We start from the raw sequence: 14,839 nt of genomic DNA, 5'->3' as shown, positions 1-14,839 counted from the left end.
CATGGAACTTCTAACTTTAGGGAGATTTGTTCCAAATAAAGAGAGGCCATTGCCTTCCAGACACCTAGGGAATCTTAAGACACTGATGGTCAGGACCAGGCCAGGCTGAGATTCCTGGTGTCCATGAGCGACTCCTGCCCCCTCCCCCAGATCTCCACCTGCACGCTGGAAACCTGCACGCTAGAAACCTACACACTGCAAGCAAAGCATGTCCACCCGTCGAAGAAAGCGTGAGATGTGCACACGCTCTGGAGAGGCACTGGTCAGTTTTGTGGCAAGTGAACGTACACCTGGTCTGATCATTTGCGCTATTTTACACAGGGCTGATCCCAGACTTTGGGCGGAAGCAGGGGAACCGGCAGCACCAGCCACTGCACGCTTGAGGAAGTGGAAGAGGGGTCAGTACAGATGGGGACCAAGGGACGGAAAGGGAAATGGAAGATCATGAGCCCAGCCCTGCCTGGGATGTGTAACAACAGCCTGATCCTGTATAAGGGGCTTCCATCCACGTGCCTCAAGCTGTTTTGGCAGACAGCTCGCGTGTGTGGACTTCCCCTGCGCAACTGTGAACAAGCACACCAAACTCAGTGGCCATACGCTTCCTGGGCTACTGCCTTAGTTTAACGCCTTGCCTCCTGTCTGAGCGCAGTAGTCATGGGGTGGGCGGCTGTGGGCTGCCCCCGCTCCTGGGGAGGTTTGCTAGGAAGGCTGCTTGGTGGCCTGTTAGTGAGCACACAAGCAAAAGGGAAGCCCTCGCAGGGAGCAGTGGCCCCCACTCCTACCATGTCACTCTGTGACTGCGTGGCCCCGTACATGGTGATGCCATTGGAGGGTGCTGCTGGCTGCGGCGTGTCGGGCTGGATGTACCCTCTTCTGTCGATCAGGCTGCGAGAGAAAAGAAAACACAGCAGGAAGAGAGTGAATAAAAAGCCAGAGATGCAGCAGCACTATCTCAGGTTCCGCGTCGGGGCTCCCTCTTCCCGTGACAGGCCCACCTCAGGCAACTTAGACTATGCCTCTCCTCACTTTCGTGTATAATCAGTGACCAAATTCTGTCCCTTCTCCCTTTAAACATGACTACGGCATGGCCTGCCTCCTCGCCAGGCCAAGGGCGTGTCGCCTGCTCAGATGACAGCATCTCCCTCTTGTCTACTAACTGTGGGAGCCTCTAAGCTGGTCTCACCCCCACCTGTCACCATCTGTCCCCAGCGCTCCTCTCCAGCCTCAACTGCACGTCTTCTTACTACATTCACTCAGCAAACGTTGTTTCGAGTACCTGCTAGTGCCAGTGTAGCGTGTGGGAAATGACCGCCTGCCACGTGGGAACAGAGCCACAGCCCCGCCAGCATGCACTCTGCTTGGCTATCTCTGTGTTTTTGTTTGGACTCTTCCCCCCTCTCTTCCTAAGTCACTTTTCCTGCCCCTCTGCTCTCCATTCTTCAAGGCCAGGTTCAAAAGCCCCTGCTCTTGCCCCTAGCCCCCTTCCTCCTCTCTCCCCTTCTCTGATTCTCAGCCCCATACATCGCTTTCTGCCTGCAATCAAGCTCCCAAGGGCAGAGTCTTCATCTTGTGGCCCCCCATGGTACCTGGCCCTGTGCCTGGCACACAGAGATGGGGATTAGAGCCCCTCTTCCACATCTGTCACAGAGCGTGGAGGGCAAGGACCGGCAGGCCGTCTCAATATCTGTATCTCTGAGGCTGACACCCAGCGGGTGCTGCGCAAAATTCTTCTTGATGGAATGAATAAAAATGGGTCCCTTGTCCCACAGACAAGTTTCTGAGTAGTGCTTCCAAAGGCATCTGTTTCTGTACTCTACGGTGCTGGGCTCATTAGAAGGTGGGGTAAAGTTGCCTTTTTTTTCTCCCCAGTGAAGGCTCAGCATTGACCTTGAGTCTAAGGGCAGAAGTGTAAGGAGCAACAGGAGGTTCAGCTAATAAGTGAGTATCCCTGGAGCAGCCCCCACAGTGTGGGACCAGGCACACCCACAGCGCAGAATCTTCCCCAGGTGCTCTGCATTTTGCAAACTACAAAAGTGTATCCAGAGGCCATGCCCATCCCCGCCTCTGAGGACTGTCTACCTGGGCTGCTTTTCTCAGAAAGCAGGGCCTCCTACGTGTCAGTCCTGTGGAACACAGGAGTTAACCTCATGACTACTGCCTTCAGGTCTTCAAGTGGCAGAACAATAAGCCAGAAAAACCACTTGTGACGGGATCCTCAAATGGGACTCTCTGCCTCAGTTCCAGCTGAACACTCCATAGGTTTAGAAAAAACAACAGGCAACAAGAATCTCCACCTTTCAAAGAAAAGTGCCTGACCTCCTCTGCAGGATGTCAAAGGGGGTTCTCAAACCAGCTTTGCAACCCTCCCTTCAAAGGTACAAAGGGTCCGAGGGGAAAAGAGCAGAGAAGGCTGTCTTGGAGAAGGGTGTTCTGCCCTCTAGCGCGGGTGACAGCCAGGGATGGGGCTGGGACCTGGGGTTGGATGAAGGTCCAGGTGTGGATCTCATGGGAGAGAGCCAGTGTCATGATGTCTTGAGGGACCGGGCGCAGTGGCTCACGCCTGTAATCCTAGCACTTTGGGAGGCCAAGGCGGGCAGATCACCGGAGGTCAGGAGTTCGAGACAAGCCTGGTCAACATGGTGAAACCCCACCTCTACTAAAAATACAAAAAAAATTAGCCAGGCGTGATGGCACATGCCTGTAACCCCAGCTACTTGGGAGGCTGAGGCAGGAGAATCACTTGAACCTGGGAGGCAGAAGTTGCAGTGAGCCAAGATCATGCCATTGCACTCCAGCCTGGGCAACAGAGTGAGACTCCATCTCAAAAAAAAAAAAGGAGGTCTTGAGGGAACGTCACGGGTTGAACTGTGCAGAAAGATATGAAGTCTTAACCTGGTACCTGCGAGTGTGACCTTACTTGCAAGTAGCGTCTCTGCAGATGTAACCAAGTTAAGATGAGGTCACACTCAATTGGGGTGGGCCTTTGTCCAGTGTGGCTGGTGTCCTTATAAGAAGAGAAAGAGGTGAGGAAGAGAATGCCAGGTGAGGGTACAGAGACACACAGGAAGAACACCATGGGCCGACAGAGGCTACCCTGCGATGAAGCATATGCCAGCCAAGGAACGTGGAGGGCTGATGGCCCCACCAGGTGCCAGGAAGAGGCAAGGAAGGGTTCTCCCCAGCCTCGGGGCGGGTACAACCCTGCCAGCACCTTGATTTAAGGCTTCGAGCCTCCGACTATAACAGAACAACTTTCTGTTGTTTTAACCCTCCCATTTCATGGCACTTGTTGGACTGCAGTGCCCTAGGAAACTACTACAGGACTCAGCCCAAGAGAGCCGCAGAGGGAGCCCCACAGAGAGGCCTATGCACGGCTCATGGCCGCGGGCCCACCTGGGGCTGCAGTGGCAGGTGTCTCCATCAGGGAACTGCAATGGGGGGTCCTCAGAGGAAATTCTCAGTCAGGTGCTCTCAGACCCCACCAGGTTAGAGCATTGGTGGGGGACCAAAAGCACCGACCCCCTGTCCCAAATCCCCTCCTCACTGTTGGCCAGCAAGCTGGTGGGGAGACAGGACTAGCTGATGGGTGGGGGCAGAGCTCAAGGGAAACAGGGATCCCCACAGTCCTCCCAACCAGGGTCAGGTGAAGTGATGGGAAGTGTTAACTGTCAATAAACTTGGCAGTTCTGATGCACTGAAATGACACTATTTTGGAGGCAAAGTGCTCTGACGTGCTCTCTCTTGCTCTCTCTCTCTCTTTTTTTTTTAATGACAAGAGAAATTAAGGGGCTTGCAGGGGATTTTATCCAGGAGCGGAAAAAGAACTAGGTCATCAAAAGAGTCTGAAGGGACAGCAGGGAGAAAAAAATCAAGCGTTCTCGGCCAGCATCCCATCGCGTCCAGCCTGTTTAATGTAGCAGCTGGGCTCCCAGTGCTGCGAAGCTCTGGACACGGCCCAATGAGGCTCTGCCCGTCCTTCTCCTCCTCACCTGGACTCGCCCCTTGTCTTGTCTCACCTCTTGGTTCTCGGCCCAGCTCCCTTCGCCCCCCACTCCTGACATTAACCCCATCAGTGTTTCCTGGGATGAGCCAGGACCCTCACCCTCGGGTCCCTGCACAGCTGCCCCCTTTGTCTTTCAAAACCCTGCTCCTCCCCACCGCTTCCTCCTCCGAACTCCTTCTCACCCTTGGGAGAGTTCACAGCTTAGACCTACTCTTGGGCGGCCCACGCACCTCACTGTGCACTGCCTGCCCATGGACAGTCCCTGCTGCCCAGAAGCTGGCCCCTCTCCCGTGCACCCCCAGTGCCTGGCACAGAGCCAGCCCCTCTCCCGTGCACCCACAGCGCCTGGCACAGAGCCAGCCCCTCTCCCGTGCACCCCCAGCGCCTGGCACAGAGCCAGCCCCTCTCCCGTGCACCCCCAGCGCCTGGCACAGAGCCAGCCCCTCTCCCGTGCACCCCCAGCGCCTGGCACGGAACTGGCTCCACCGCACATGGGCAGTCAATGGTGGCCACATGACCCACAGAACCAGCCCAAGTCTGGTGTGACACTGACCATTCCTTGGGCCTTTCTGTGTTCCCAATTTTCCATTCCTCCCGCCAGGCTTATATGAGGACTCCTTCCTCCAAACCTGGCCATACCCAGCCAGCTGCCATCCCTGCCTCTGGGAACACTGCAGGAACCGAATGTGGGTCTCTGAACTCTTGGTAAGCAGACTCCCAGAGGGGAACACAAGAACTCTCTCTGCCTTATTTGCATGGCACAGCACCATTTAAGAACCCAGGAGGGGCAACTCAAGCACAGGGGTCTGGGCCCAGGGGTCCGAGGAAGGGGACACTCTCAGTGGGTAGGCCTGGCCGGGATGCCCGGGAAGGCCCTGGCCCACTTAAGGGCACAGGGGCTGGGTCGAGGTGGCACAGCGGAAGGGCAAGGCAAGAGGGGACGAGAGGGAGGGGCAAAGGTAGGCATCACCCCCTCACATCTGCCTGGGGCCAGCCCGGAAGCCTATGAGTGGCCTATGTCCCTGCCCAAGCTCCAGAATGACCCAAGGAAAGCTACGGCCCCACTTTAACAAAGCAAATGTCTTATTTGTCTTGCTCTGCCTTCACCCAATAAAAGCCTCCCCCGGAGCCCCTTCAGTGCTGCCCCACACCGCTTCAAGTCTGGAGCTGCCAGATTCATGAATCGCCGTCTGTTCAAATACACTCTTCACTATTTTAATGTCCTTCAGTTTACCTTTTAACAAACGATTCAAACACTTCTCAGGGTAGGACCATCCTCAAGAAATGCCCCACCCAAAGGAACATGGATTTTGGAAAAGATACAGCCCCAATCCAGCCAAAACAGCACATTTAACCCAGTGGTGGAAATAATTTTGGTTGTGACAGTTTGTGGTCTCTAAACAACATAAAGCCGTGCCATATGCAGATGAAGGACTCAGGAACAAGAAGGGAGATTTGGACAGAACTGAGGCCTCGGCATCCTCTCTTAGACCCACACACGCACTGCAGGTGGGGGAAAGAGGCCAGCTCTCCCTGGCTCTTACTGTTTCCTGACCTGCCCTGCTAGTCACAAACAAGCCAGCGGGAAGCACCATGGACGCTGTGACAAATCAAGCCATTGCCTGAGAGACTTTCTGCTTAAAGAGCTCCCAGAAGGATCCCTAGGTGAGTCAGGAGGTTTCTTCAAGAGGAGCTGGCACCTGCCCAGGCATGTCTGACCCCTGTGGTCTGAGCAGCTCCTCTAACCCAGGATCCTCGCCTGCCCTTTCTAAGCCTCTGAGGAGGTCAGGGGTGCCTTGAGGACCCCTAGTTCAGGAGGACAGTGGCATGCTGGGCTCCCAAGTTTCTAGGCTAAAGCTAGAAAATGATCAAGTTCTAGTTTTGCAGTAGCACCACGGTGACTCAAAGTAATAACTCAATGCCAGTGCACAGATGGCCTTGGAATATATGCTTGGATTTTTTTTTTCTTGAATTCTTTTTACCTCTCTAATGAGGATTCACTGAGGCTGATAATCAAATGAAGTTTGCATTCCACAAGCGCATATCGGTAAGGTCTGGGTGCACAGTGGGTCTGCCCTGGACACAGTCATGGTGGCTTTTGTCATTTCTCCCTGTTTTACACATTTGGAGACCAAAAGGTAGGAAGCAGTAATAACTTGGAAACTCATTCTAGAGACCAGGTAGATTTGCTCAATATCTATTTGTTGATCATGGTTTGATTTATCAGTTGAAAATATTCTCCATAGGTGTAACTCACAAAGAATCTGTATTTTGAACTTGTACACTCTGACTTGGAGGCAGCGTGCCTCAGTGGGCACATACTGGCTCTGACATTGGGTGGCCTGGGTGTGTGTCCTGACTAGCCGGCATTTACTTGCTGTGTGATCTTGGGCACATTATTTAAACTCTGTGCCTCACTTTCCTCATCCATAGAATGGGATATAACGGTGCCTACCTATAGGTACAGAGTGAGCTTGTGAAAGGCTAATGCAGATAAAGAACTTAGAGCAGAGCTTAACACAGATTCAATAAAGGTCAGCTACTGCCATGGTTCGTGTCATCGTCATTATTACCATGACCACAGTATCAACGACTGCGGCCCATGTGGCTTTCTCCCTATGAACATTTCTATTGTGTGCAAATCAACTTTCGAAACTGGTTTCCTCAGACTTCTGGCTGCTTCCTTCCTGCACATGTGTCCTGTCTCCTTGACGATGCTAACCACAGCTCCCTGCACGCACCTTCAGTCATTAGCAGGGCCTCAGTCATTAGCAGGGCCACAGGCATCTGTCTCTCTATTTTGGGCTTTAGGAAATTTCCCCCCAATCAGACACAGATTCAATTGAAGATCAAAAAAGGTGTGAAGTGTGACACGACAAACAGCCAGATCTCGATTTCACGAAGGCCACATCCACGCGGCACAAAGTGGTCACGTGGTGGCGGCGACCCATTCCACCAGGGCGGGCGGCCTGTGCTAACGGCCGAGGCATTCGGTTTTCCAAGGTCTGTTGAAGAGCACGATGCGTCCTGAGTCTTACCTTGGTGAGATGGGCCCACACAGGGCAACACAGCAGTTGGTAAAGATATTTCCGTAGCTGTAGGGATTGTAATTTTCTTTACCTCTTTTATTTGACCAGGATCCTTTAATCTGAAAGAAAAGGAAAGTCAGTAACAAGCAATATCTTCCACACCAACGCACAGTTGAGGTGAGCTGGACCATGAGAGGCTCATAAAGAATGCAAATCATCTTTAATCCAAAGAAATGGAGGTATTTTTCTTAAAGAAAACGGGCATTTACTCCAAACTTGGAAATGTCCTAAAACAGCAGGTTAGAATAGGGAAAGAATAACATTCTCAGGGACAGTCATCTTTTATTTGTACCACATGGTACTAAAAGGCCATCTCATATAAGCCAGCAGAGATTTTTTTCATACTCACATTTAGTGCCCTAAATAATAATTAAATGAATGGTAGGTGAAATGGTTCCCCTAATTGCTAATTTACAGACTGAAATAATTCAGCCTCTTCTTGTGACCAAAATGGTCTGTTTTGCATATTCTAATATTTGTAGCTACCAAGTACAAATAACTGTATTAATATTCTCTTATCTCATGTGTCTTATCACAACCTATTTTCTCAAGCTTTTGTTTAAGGTAACTGGACCTATCCTGAGACATTTAATTCAAGTGTGGATAGAGACTTCTATCAAAATCTAAGTATAAAGAGCAAAGAGGACCACGCTGCTCTGGAAACATTCTCTAACATTTTGTTTCCTCTTTTTTTTTTTTTTTTTTGAGATGGAGTGTCGCTCTGTCACCCAGGCTGGAGTGCAGTGGCGCTATCTCAGCTCACTGCAACCTCTGCCTCCTGGGTTCAAGCGATTCTCTGGTCTCAGCCTCCTGAATAGCTGGGATTACAAGCGCCTGCCACCACACCCGGCTCATTTTTTTGTATTTTTAGTGGAGACGGGATTTCACTGTGTTAGCCGGGATGGCCTCGATCTCCTGACCTCGTGATCCGCCTGCCTCGGCCTCCCGAAGTGCTGGGATTACAGGCATGAGCCACCGCGCCCGGCCTTGTTTCCTATTTTCATACTTCCTCTCCATCTGTATTAAGTGCAGGCAGATAATCCTGAATAAAAAAGTTAAATTTTGGGTCAGGGCAATTTCCTCCCACAGAGACATTAAATATGAAAGGCAGACTCAAACGTTCACTCCAAGATGTTGGCCCGCCATGGTCTCTACCAGGGGAAGTGTGATAAGAAGCTTACGAAACCATTTCAAAGGAATACAAAGAACACTCTCTTCAGGGCCAGAAATGGGTGTTGCTTGGCCAATCTTAGTAACTAATGGATGTGGTCGGAAAAACAGAGAACGTGGAGATTCCCAGAAGAGAAACGTGCAGAACGGCAGGTGGAGAAGTTTCCACGGCACCGTCTCTGTTCCCAAGGGCTCACATCTGGAACGGGATGTATGGGAAAAGCTGGGCTCAACCTTTTCTTTCCTTTTTCTCCTCCATTGCCCAAAACCCAAGAACACGCCCGTGTCCCGTGTGGTCAGGAACTTACGTCCTCATTTGTTGTCTGGTTGGAGCTGATCAAGTAGGTGTGGAATCCTGAGAGGCCAACGATGGACCAGACAGAGAAGAAGCACACCACAGCCTCCAGGACGGTGATGCGAGTCAAGGAGGCAAGCGGAAGTGAGGGACCGCGCAAGAAGTGGATGTGATGGAGGCCTGGAACCGAAACACCCCCGGGCACAGGCCTCTCTCTAGTTGCTGGCCTCTCTCTCACCCGGCCTTGCCTTGCTTCCTGCTCTTCCGGGAATTTCGTCTAACCAGATGGAGGCCTCCGTCAGGGCAGGGGGTGTCACCTGCCCCGGCGTGGAGCAGCCTCTGTGGCTCCGTGATGCCTGGAGGGTTTCCTGGGCATCACCTACTCACTTCTTTCCTCTGACTTCTACTTGAACTTCACCTTTTTCTGTGCCTCACTGTGGAGCCAGCGACTGTGGCATCCTGATCAGGAAGCACACTGGTTTGAGTTGGCTGCAGCTCAGGCTCTGGGTGAAAGGACGACATATTGACTCGCACATCAATCACAGACTCTAATTTTGGCTTCTGAATGCTGAGGACTGCAGTGCCAACAGGCGTCTCCCCTGAGGAGAATGGCTTCTGAGGCCCAGAAAGCCCTCTGCTTTAGTGGACGGCCTCTTCTCTGCTTACAGAGAAGGGGAAGAAGGAAAAATAAGCCCCTGAACCGGCGGTGGGATTTCTCGGAGTGACGTCAGGGTGAGGGGTATTTTTACCTGGGGGAGTTTTCTCAGCCCTTCAGCCAACCCCTGACCTATAAGGCCATCCTCAGCTGCTTGATAGGCAGCTGGGAACCACGAGTTCTCGCAGGACATAGAGAGAGAGGAAGTCAAGAGTTCCACAAGACGTGTCCAACACAAAGGGAAAAAGCTTGGTGCTCTTCAGCAGATCAGATCCATCACCCGAGAGTGTGGCAATGTGAAAAGGCCAGAGACTTTTTCTGTCCCACAAATGTTTATAACATTCTATTTACAGGATACAGATATTTCTCAGGGGGAAAAATCCATTCATCCTGGGTCTGGGAGTTTACACATACATCTGGCATCCGCTATCGATACATTACAGGATGGAGAAAGAAACGCGCCTGCTCTCCTAATGTTTCCGAGGATGAATGCCATATACATCATGCTGGAACATGTCAGTGATGATCTTCTCCAGGCTGGAGATAATTCATCTTTAGACCAGAGGGCTGAGCACATTACCCAGTGCGGTGCCGTGGTCTGCTGTGCCATGGTTAACCGATGCCACCATCTGGGCATACAAGGCTGCACACAAAACAGGAGTGAATGGGCTTCTGCCTGTTGACTGACTTTCAACATCGCACTAAACCACTGGGTCTGCTCTAGAAGGAGACGGTAGCGGGGAGTGGTAGGGAACCAGAGAGACACAGGAAGGCAGACCCCCTACCCACAGCTGCTGCCAGCCTAGGCAACCCCTGCTGGGCAAATGGCTACAGTGGGGGCTCTGTGTGCACATGGGGACACATGGATGGTGGCCCAGGCAGCAAAGATGGTCTCATTCTCAACTGCCTTCCCACAGAACGGGGCTAAAGAGGCCCCTCTCTCCACCCACATCCCCCCTGCCAGGAGGGGACAGACTTGGGAGGCAACTCCCCTGGGATTCAGGCCATGCACTGGCTGGAAAGAAGAGGTGAAGTAGAGTCCAGGGAACACAATGCGGGAGCCAGTGGGAAGACTGAGTCAGGAAAGCTGGGGTGTGTGAGAGGGAGATGACATTAGACACTAGTGATGGGTTTGGATCAGCTACAAGGAAGACAAGAGACAGAAAGAGGAGGGGACACATGGAACGGAAACAAGAAATAGCCAGGGTAGAAAAGAATCAAGAACAGAACCAGATTTATTTACTGAATAATACATGAAGAACCAAACTGCAATCCTAGAAATACTTATGTGTCACCAAGAGTTTACGACCCAGGTAGAATGATGGCAAAGTCAAAATGCATATAACATTCCTATGTATGAACCATATGAAACCTGGCATGTACGAGCAGTGACAATCCCAGACTGAAAGTGGCTGCAGCTCCTTTGACAATGTCAACTATGCTCCTTACCCTCATCGGGAGGCATCATAGCCAGCGGATATAGAATTCTAAAGGTTTATAGCAACAATAAAAAAATACAGCATATATATATATATATATATATATATTTGAGATGAAGTTTTGCTTTTGTTGCCCAGGCTGGAGTACAGTGGCATGATCTCAGCTCACTGCAACCTCCGCCTCCCAGGTTCAAGTGATTCTGCTGCCTCAGCCTCCCGAGTAGCTGGGATTACAGGTGCCCACCACCATGCATGGCTAAGTTTTGTATTTTTAGTAGAGACGGGGTTTCACCATGTTGGCCAGGCTGGTCTCGGACTCCTGACCTCAGGTGATCCTCCCAAAGTGCTGGGATTACAGGTGTGAGCCACCATGCCCGGCCAGCTTTTCTATTAATATCTCATGTGCTTTAGACACATTTTGTAAATTGCAGAATGCAGTTCCACTGTCAGCTTGCAGCTGTGTCAAAATGACATGAATCCAAAGTAGGATGCGAGATGCAAGATGCAGCCTGCTGGCACTACCCACACCCTGGGACCCAGCTGACTCAGGAGGTCTCAAGGAACCGTCAGCATCATCATTCATAACAATGGCTGGCATCACTGGGGTGTGTCAGGTCCTGTTCTGCTTAAACCTCAGAGTGACCCAGGGAGAAGCATGACTCCCTCTTAACACACAGGGAAACTGAGGCAGAAAGCAATGAAGTAATTTGCTTGAGAAATAGCAGAGCTAGGACTTGAATGCCGGAAGTCTGCTCTGCTGGGATGACAGAAGAGTCTTAGGCTGGTCCCCTTCCTAATTCTTGCCAAGGGGCAGGTGGCCCTAGACCTACCCCAACCCCCTGCTTCTCCAGGATTCGCGAACCTGTGGCAGCTGACATGGTTTGTTCCCTTTCACATCCACTCTCAGACTCAGATACAGATATACAGACACACATTCCTTACTGGCCCACTGGCTATATGCTGAAAATATCTATGCCATAATAAGGTCAAGAAACAGAAATTTCTTTTAAAGGTATCAAAACCCATTTACCGTCTTTTTTTAGAAAGAGAAAGGAGAGGAAACAACCCAATTCTACTGGAAGCCAATTTCATAAGCAGCTGGGACTTTGTTTACTGCATCGAGGATGGGTTTCAAATCATAGCAGCTACCACTGCACCTCTGTCTCCCCCACAACCCCTGCTAAGAAAGTTTGTCCCCGTTGTGGCCAGAAGGATGGCTTTACATTCCCCACAGCCCTAGCCTAAGAGGTTGCACACTGCGGTACTCACTAAACGTTTGTGGAATTGAAAAACTCTGACAAGCACTGCTCTGCAGAGACCCTTCTCTCGAGTTCCTGCCTAATCCCAGAAGTGCAGGCTCTGTGTCCTTCTATGCACCCAGCCCTGCACTGGGGACAGGACAGGGCAGGGAAGGACCAGCTTCCTGCCCTAAGGGAATAGGGGCTCTGTTTGCAGCAGGAAGGTACGTAAGGGAAGAAGGTTGTGCAGGAGGCAGAATGGTTAGGATGCGTCAGTATTTGGAGGATCACAAAAGGTGAGAGATCATGGGACCACATATGTTACATGTCCAGAATTCCCGGATTCCAGAATGGCCAGGGAGATGATGTCCTTGCTCTCATTCAAATACAATGTGGGCTTGTGCATTCTTGTGTTTTAAAATTTTTTTAGTTCTAATTTCCAACATGATAACTATCTATCTATCTATCTATCTATCTATCTATCTATCTATCTATCTTCAAAATATACACAAAAGCTCTTTGGCGGTCCTTAATAATTTTTCAATGTGTAAAGGAGTCTTGAGACCAAAAAGTTTGAGACTTGCTGGAACAGAATAATGAAATAGTAAGTGGAGTTGGGACACTTCATTAAACATTTAGAAAAAAATAAAGCTAGAACTTCAGCTTGCACCACATCCACAAAATTATCTGATAGATAAATTACTGCACCAAACGTAAGAAACACAATATAAAGGTATTTGAGGAAGATTAAGGCAACATTCATGTAACTTTGGGGTAAGGATATAAGACACAAACCGAGGAGCCACGTAGTATGAGATTGACAGATTGTGTTCATTAATAAACACTTCCGTGTAAAAAAGTAAAGTTAAAAGGTAAATGTTGGATTTGGAGATTGGCAAAGGATGCTTAAGAGATTATTATTATTATTATTTTTGAGAAACATAAAGAACCCCTACATGTTCGTAGAAAAAGAACAAATAACTCAACTGATACATGGACATGTACTGGCATACATTGTGATAAGAAAAAATAAGGCCCATGAACATAAAGAGAGGTACAATCTATTATCCAGAAAATGGAAATTAAAACAGTGTAATATTTTTCTTTTCATCGAATTGGCCAAAATGACAAGACTGTTCACAGCCAGTGCCATAAAGGTGTGGGGACACAGGAGCACAGACTTGTCCAGTGTCTTAAGAGGAGCATTTGGCATCCCTATCGACATTTAAATGTGCTTCCCTTCAACTCAGAGATGGCACACCCATTGTCAACCCTAGAGACACAGTAATATGTGCACATAGAGATACACAGAAGAAAATTCACTACTTCATTTCTTGAACAGTAAAAAAAATTAAATCTAATATCCATCAACAGAAGACTAAACTATAGTTCATCTACACTGTGGAATTCTACGAAATAGTTAAAAAAATGAGGTAGATCTATGTATCATCATGGAAACATCTCCAGGAAATATTTTAAAAAGTCAAATTGTGGAACCATGCAAAAAAAAGAGTCCTTTTTAGGTAAAGTCCTCCCACCCCCGTATCAGCATATGTGTATGATGCACACGGATGTATTCAAACTCTAAGACCATCTGGAAGGACACACCAAAGCTGGCAAGGGTTCCTACAGCAGAACGGAGGAAGGGTCAAGAGAAACACTTTCTTTTTGCTCTTGTATTTCTGGACCATTGGGGATTTTTTACAACGAGAACATATTCTCGTAGGACTTGGGTGCTTTGAAAAAGCAAACAACCTCCTTCCCACCTTGTGGTCTTATGAGACACAATCTGATGCTTTTTCTTCCTGACCCTCCCTCAGTGGGGCTGGTTAGGGGTAGCAGGAAGTATCTCAGTCCCCTGGTGGGAGGGAGGGTGGTAGTTGGGAGAACTGGGCTCCAGCTCTGGACACCCCTGAGTAAGTCATTCACTTCTCAGCACAGCTGCAGCTGGAAGCAGCCTAAGGACACCTGTCCTACCTACTTTCTGGGGTCCCTCTCAGGATCAGCAGGTATCAGGATGGACAAGTTGGAAAAGACCTGTGCTGCCTTCGTGATTTTCCCGTTGTGGTGTCCTTTCTGTGGGCCAACCTGGAGCCTCCTAGAAAATTCCATTAAAACAGACCATGTGTATTAGGCCACTGTGCCTTTCAGATGGGTCAGTGTCCAGTGAATGCAACTTGGGGATGAAAACGCTTTCTGTCACAGCCTCTGCAAATGGAGAATCAATCAACATTTGATTTACCAACCACAAAAAACTCTCCACATTTTAAGAGAGCTGAACAATAAGTCATGATTAAAAATGGCTGTAATCCCTTTAATTGGATGTTAATGCTACATTACATTGAAATGAGTGTTGATAGGCAGGGCTTCCCCTTTTGGGGTCTTCCTCAGGGAGGCCCAGGGCCCCTGTGGCTCCCCAGCAGGTGTTTCTGAGGGTTTTGGCCTCCGCGAATCGGAGAAGCCAAGGCGGCATCACCACATGGCTTCCCGGACAGGCACCTGACAGGTAACATTTCCTATGAGGCTGCGACATTCTCATTGATAAGCAGCTGATTTTTCCCTCCTTCCACATTACATGCAGGCAACTAAAGAAAGGACCTTCAGGTCACTCTAGGCCAATGGGGAGACTCATGTGTGTTATCTTTTAGATTCTTTTTGTAAACATATCTTAGACAGAACTCACCACGGCTCCCCAAATTGGCACTAGCTGTATCCCCCTTCCAGCGCAACCCTTTCCCCCAGGCACTCTTGGCAGAACGCTCCTACTCCTCCGCCCTCACCCCTCCCCAGGCACGGATCCCACTGCCCTGCTTCTCCCTACTGAGCTGTCCCTCTGCCACCGATTTCCCCCGTGGGGGCCTTTCCTCTGCAAACATCTGTTCCACTCTGTTGTGTCCCCTGATGCAAGATAAATGTTCTTGCCGGGTGCAGTGGCTCACGCCTGTAATCC

The 14,839-nt window shown here is 49.9% G+C and overlaps 1 protein-coding gene across 7 annotated transcripts in view, besides 2 other annotated features; it reads right to left on the bottom strand.

Annotated features, from left to right (window-relative positions):
- ZDHHC14 (zDHHC palmitoyltransferase 14) overlaps positions 1-14,839 on the bottom strand; it is a 296,968-nt gene that overhangs the window by 23,748 nt on the left and 258,381 nt on the right. For all 7 annotated transcript variants that reach the window (NM_024630.3, XM_047419366.1, NM_153746.2 and 4 more), the window contains exons 6-8: positions 8,571-8,673; positions 7,042-7,151; positions 783-885 (exon numbers count right to left, since the gene is read on the bottom strand). In NM_024630.3, the coding sequence (NP_078906.2) occupies positions 783-885; positions 7,042-7,151; positions 8,571-8,673 (316 nt within the window). The remainder of the gene's footprint in view (positions 1-782; positions 886-7,041; positions 7,152-8,570; positions 8,674-14,839) is intronic.
- Positions 5,195-6,394: an enhancer, noted in NCBI's record as "CDK7 strongly-dependent group 2 enhancer chr6:158069048-158070247 (GRCh37/hg19 assembly coordinates)". NCBI's record gives its function as "activates an origin of replication core promoter dependent on BRD2, BRD4, P300/CBP, MED14 and CDK7 cofactors, with strong dependence on CDK7, by STARR-seq in HCT116 cells {active_cell/tissue: HCT116}" and the evidence as "EXISTENCE:reporter gene assay evidence [ECO:0000049][PMID:35650434]".
- Positions 8,289-8,789: an enhancer, noted in NCBI's record as "H3K4me1 hESC enhancer chr6:158066653-158067153 (GRCh37/hg19 assembly coordinates)". NCBI's record gives its function as "activates a minimal SCP1, AML or CMV promoter by ChIP-STARR-seq in naive H9 embryonic stem cells {active_cell/tissue: H9 hESC(naive)}" and the evidence as "EXISTENCE:reporter gene assay evidence [ECO:0000049][PMID:30033119]".

This window comes from Homo sapiens, chromosome 6 (assembly GCF_000001405.40).
Source record: "Homo sapiens chromosome 6, GRCh38.p14 Primary Assembly".
Taxonomy (NCBI): domain Eukaryota; kingdom Metazoa; phylum Chordata; class Mammalia; order Primates; family Hominidae; genus Homo; species Homo sapiens.
The sequence above is the reverse complement of the archived record's forward strand: the minus strand, read 5'-3'. Positions and strand labels throughout refer to the sequence as shown.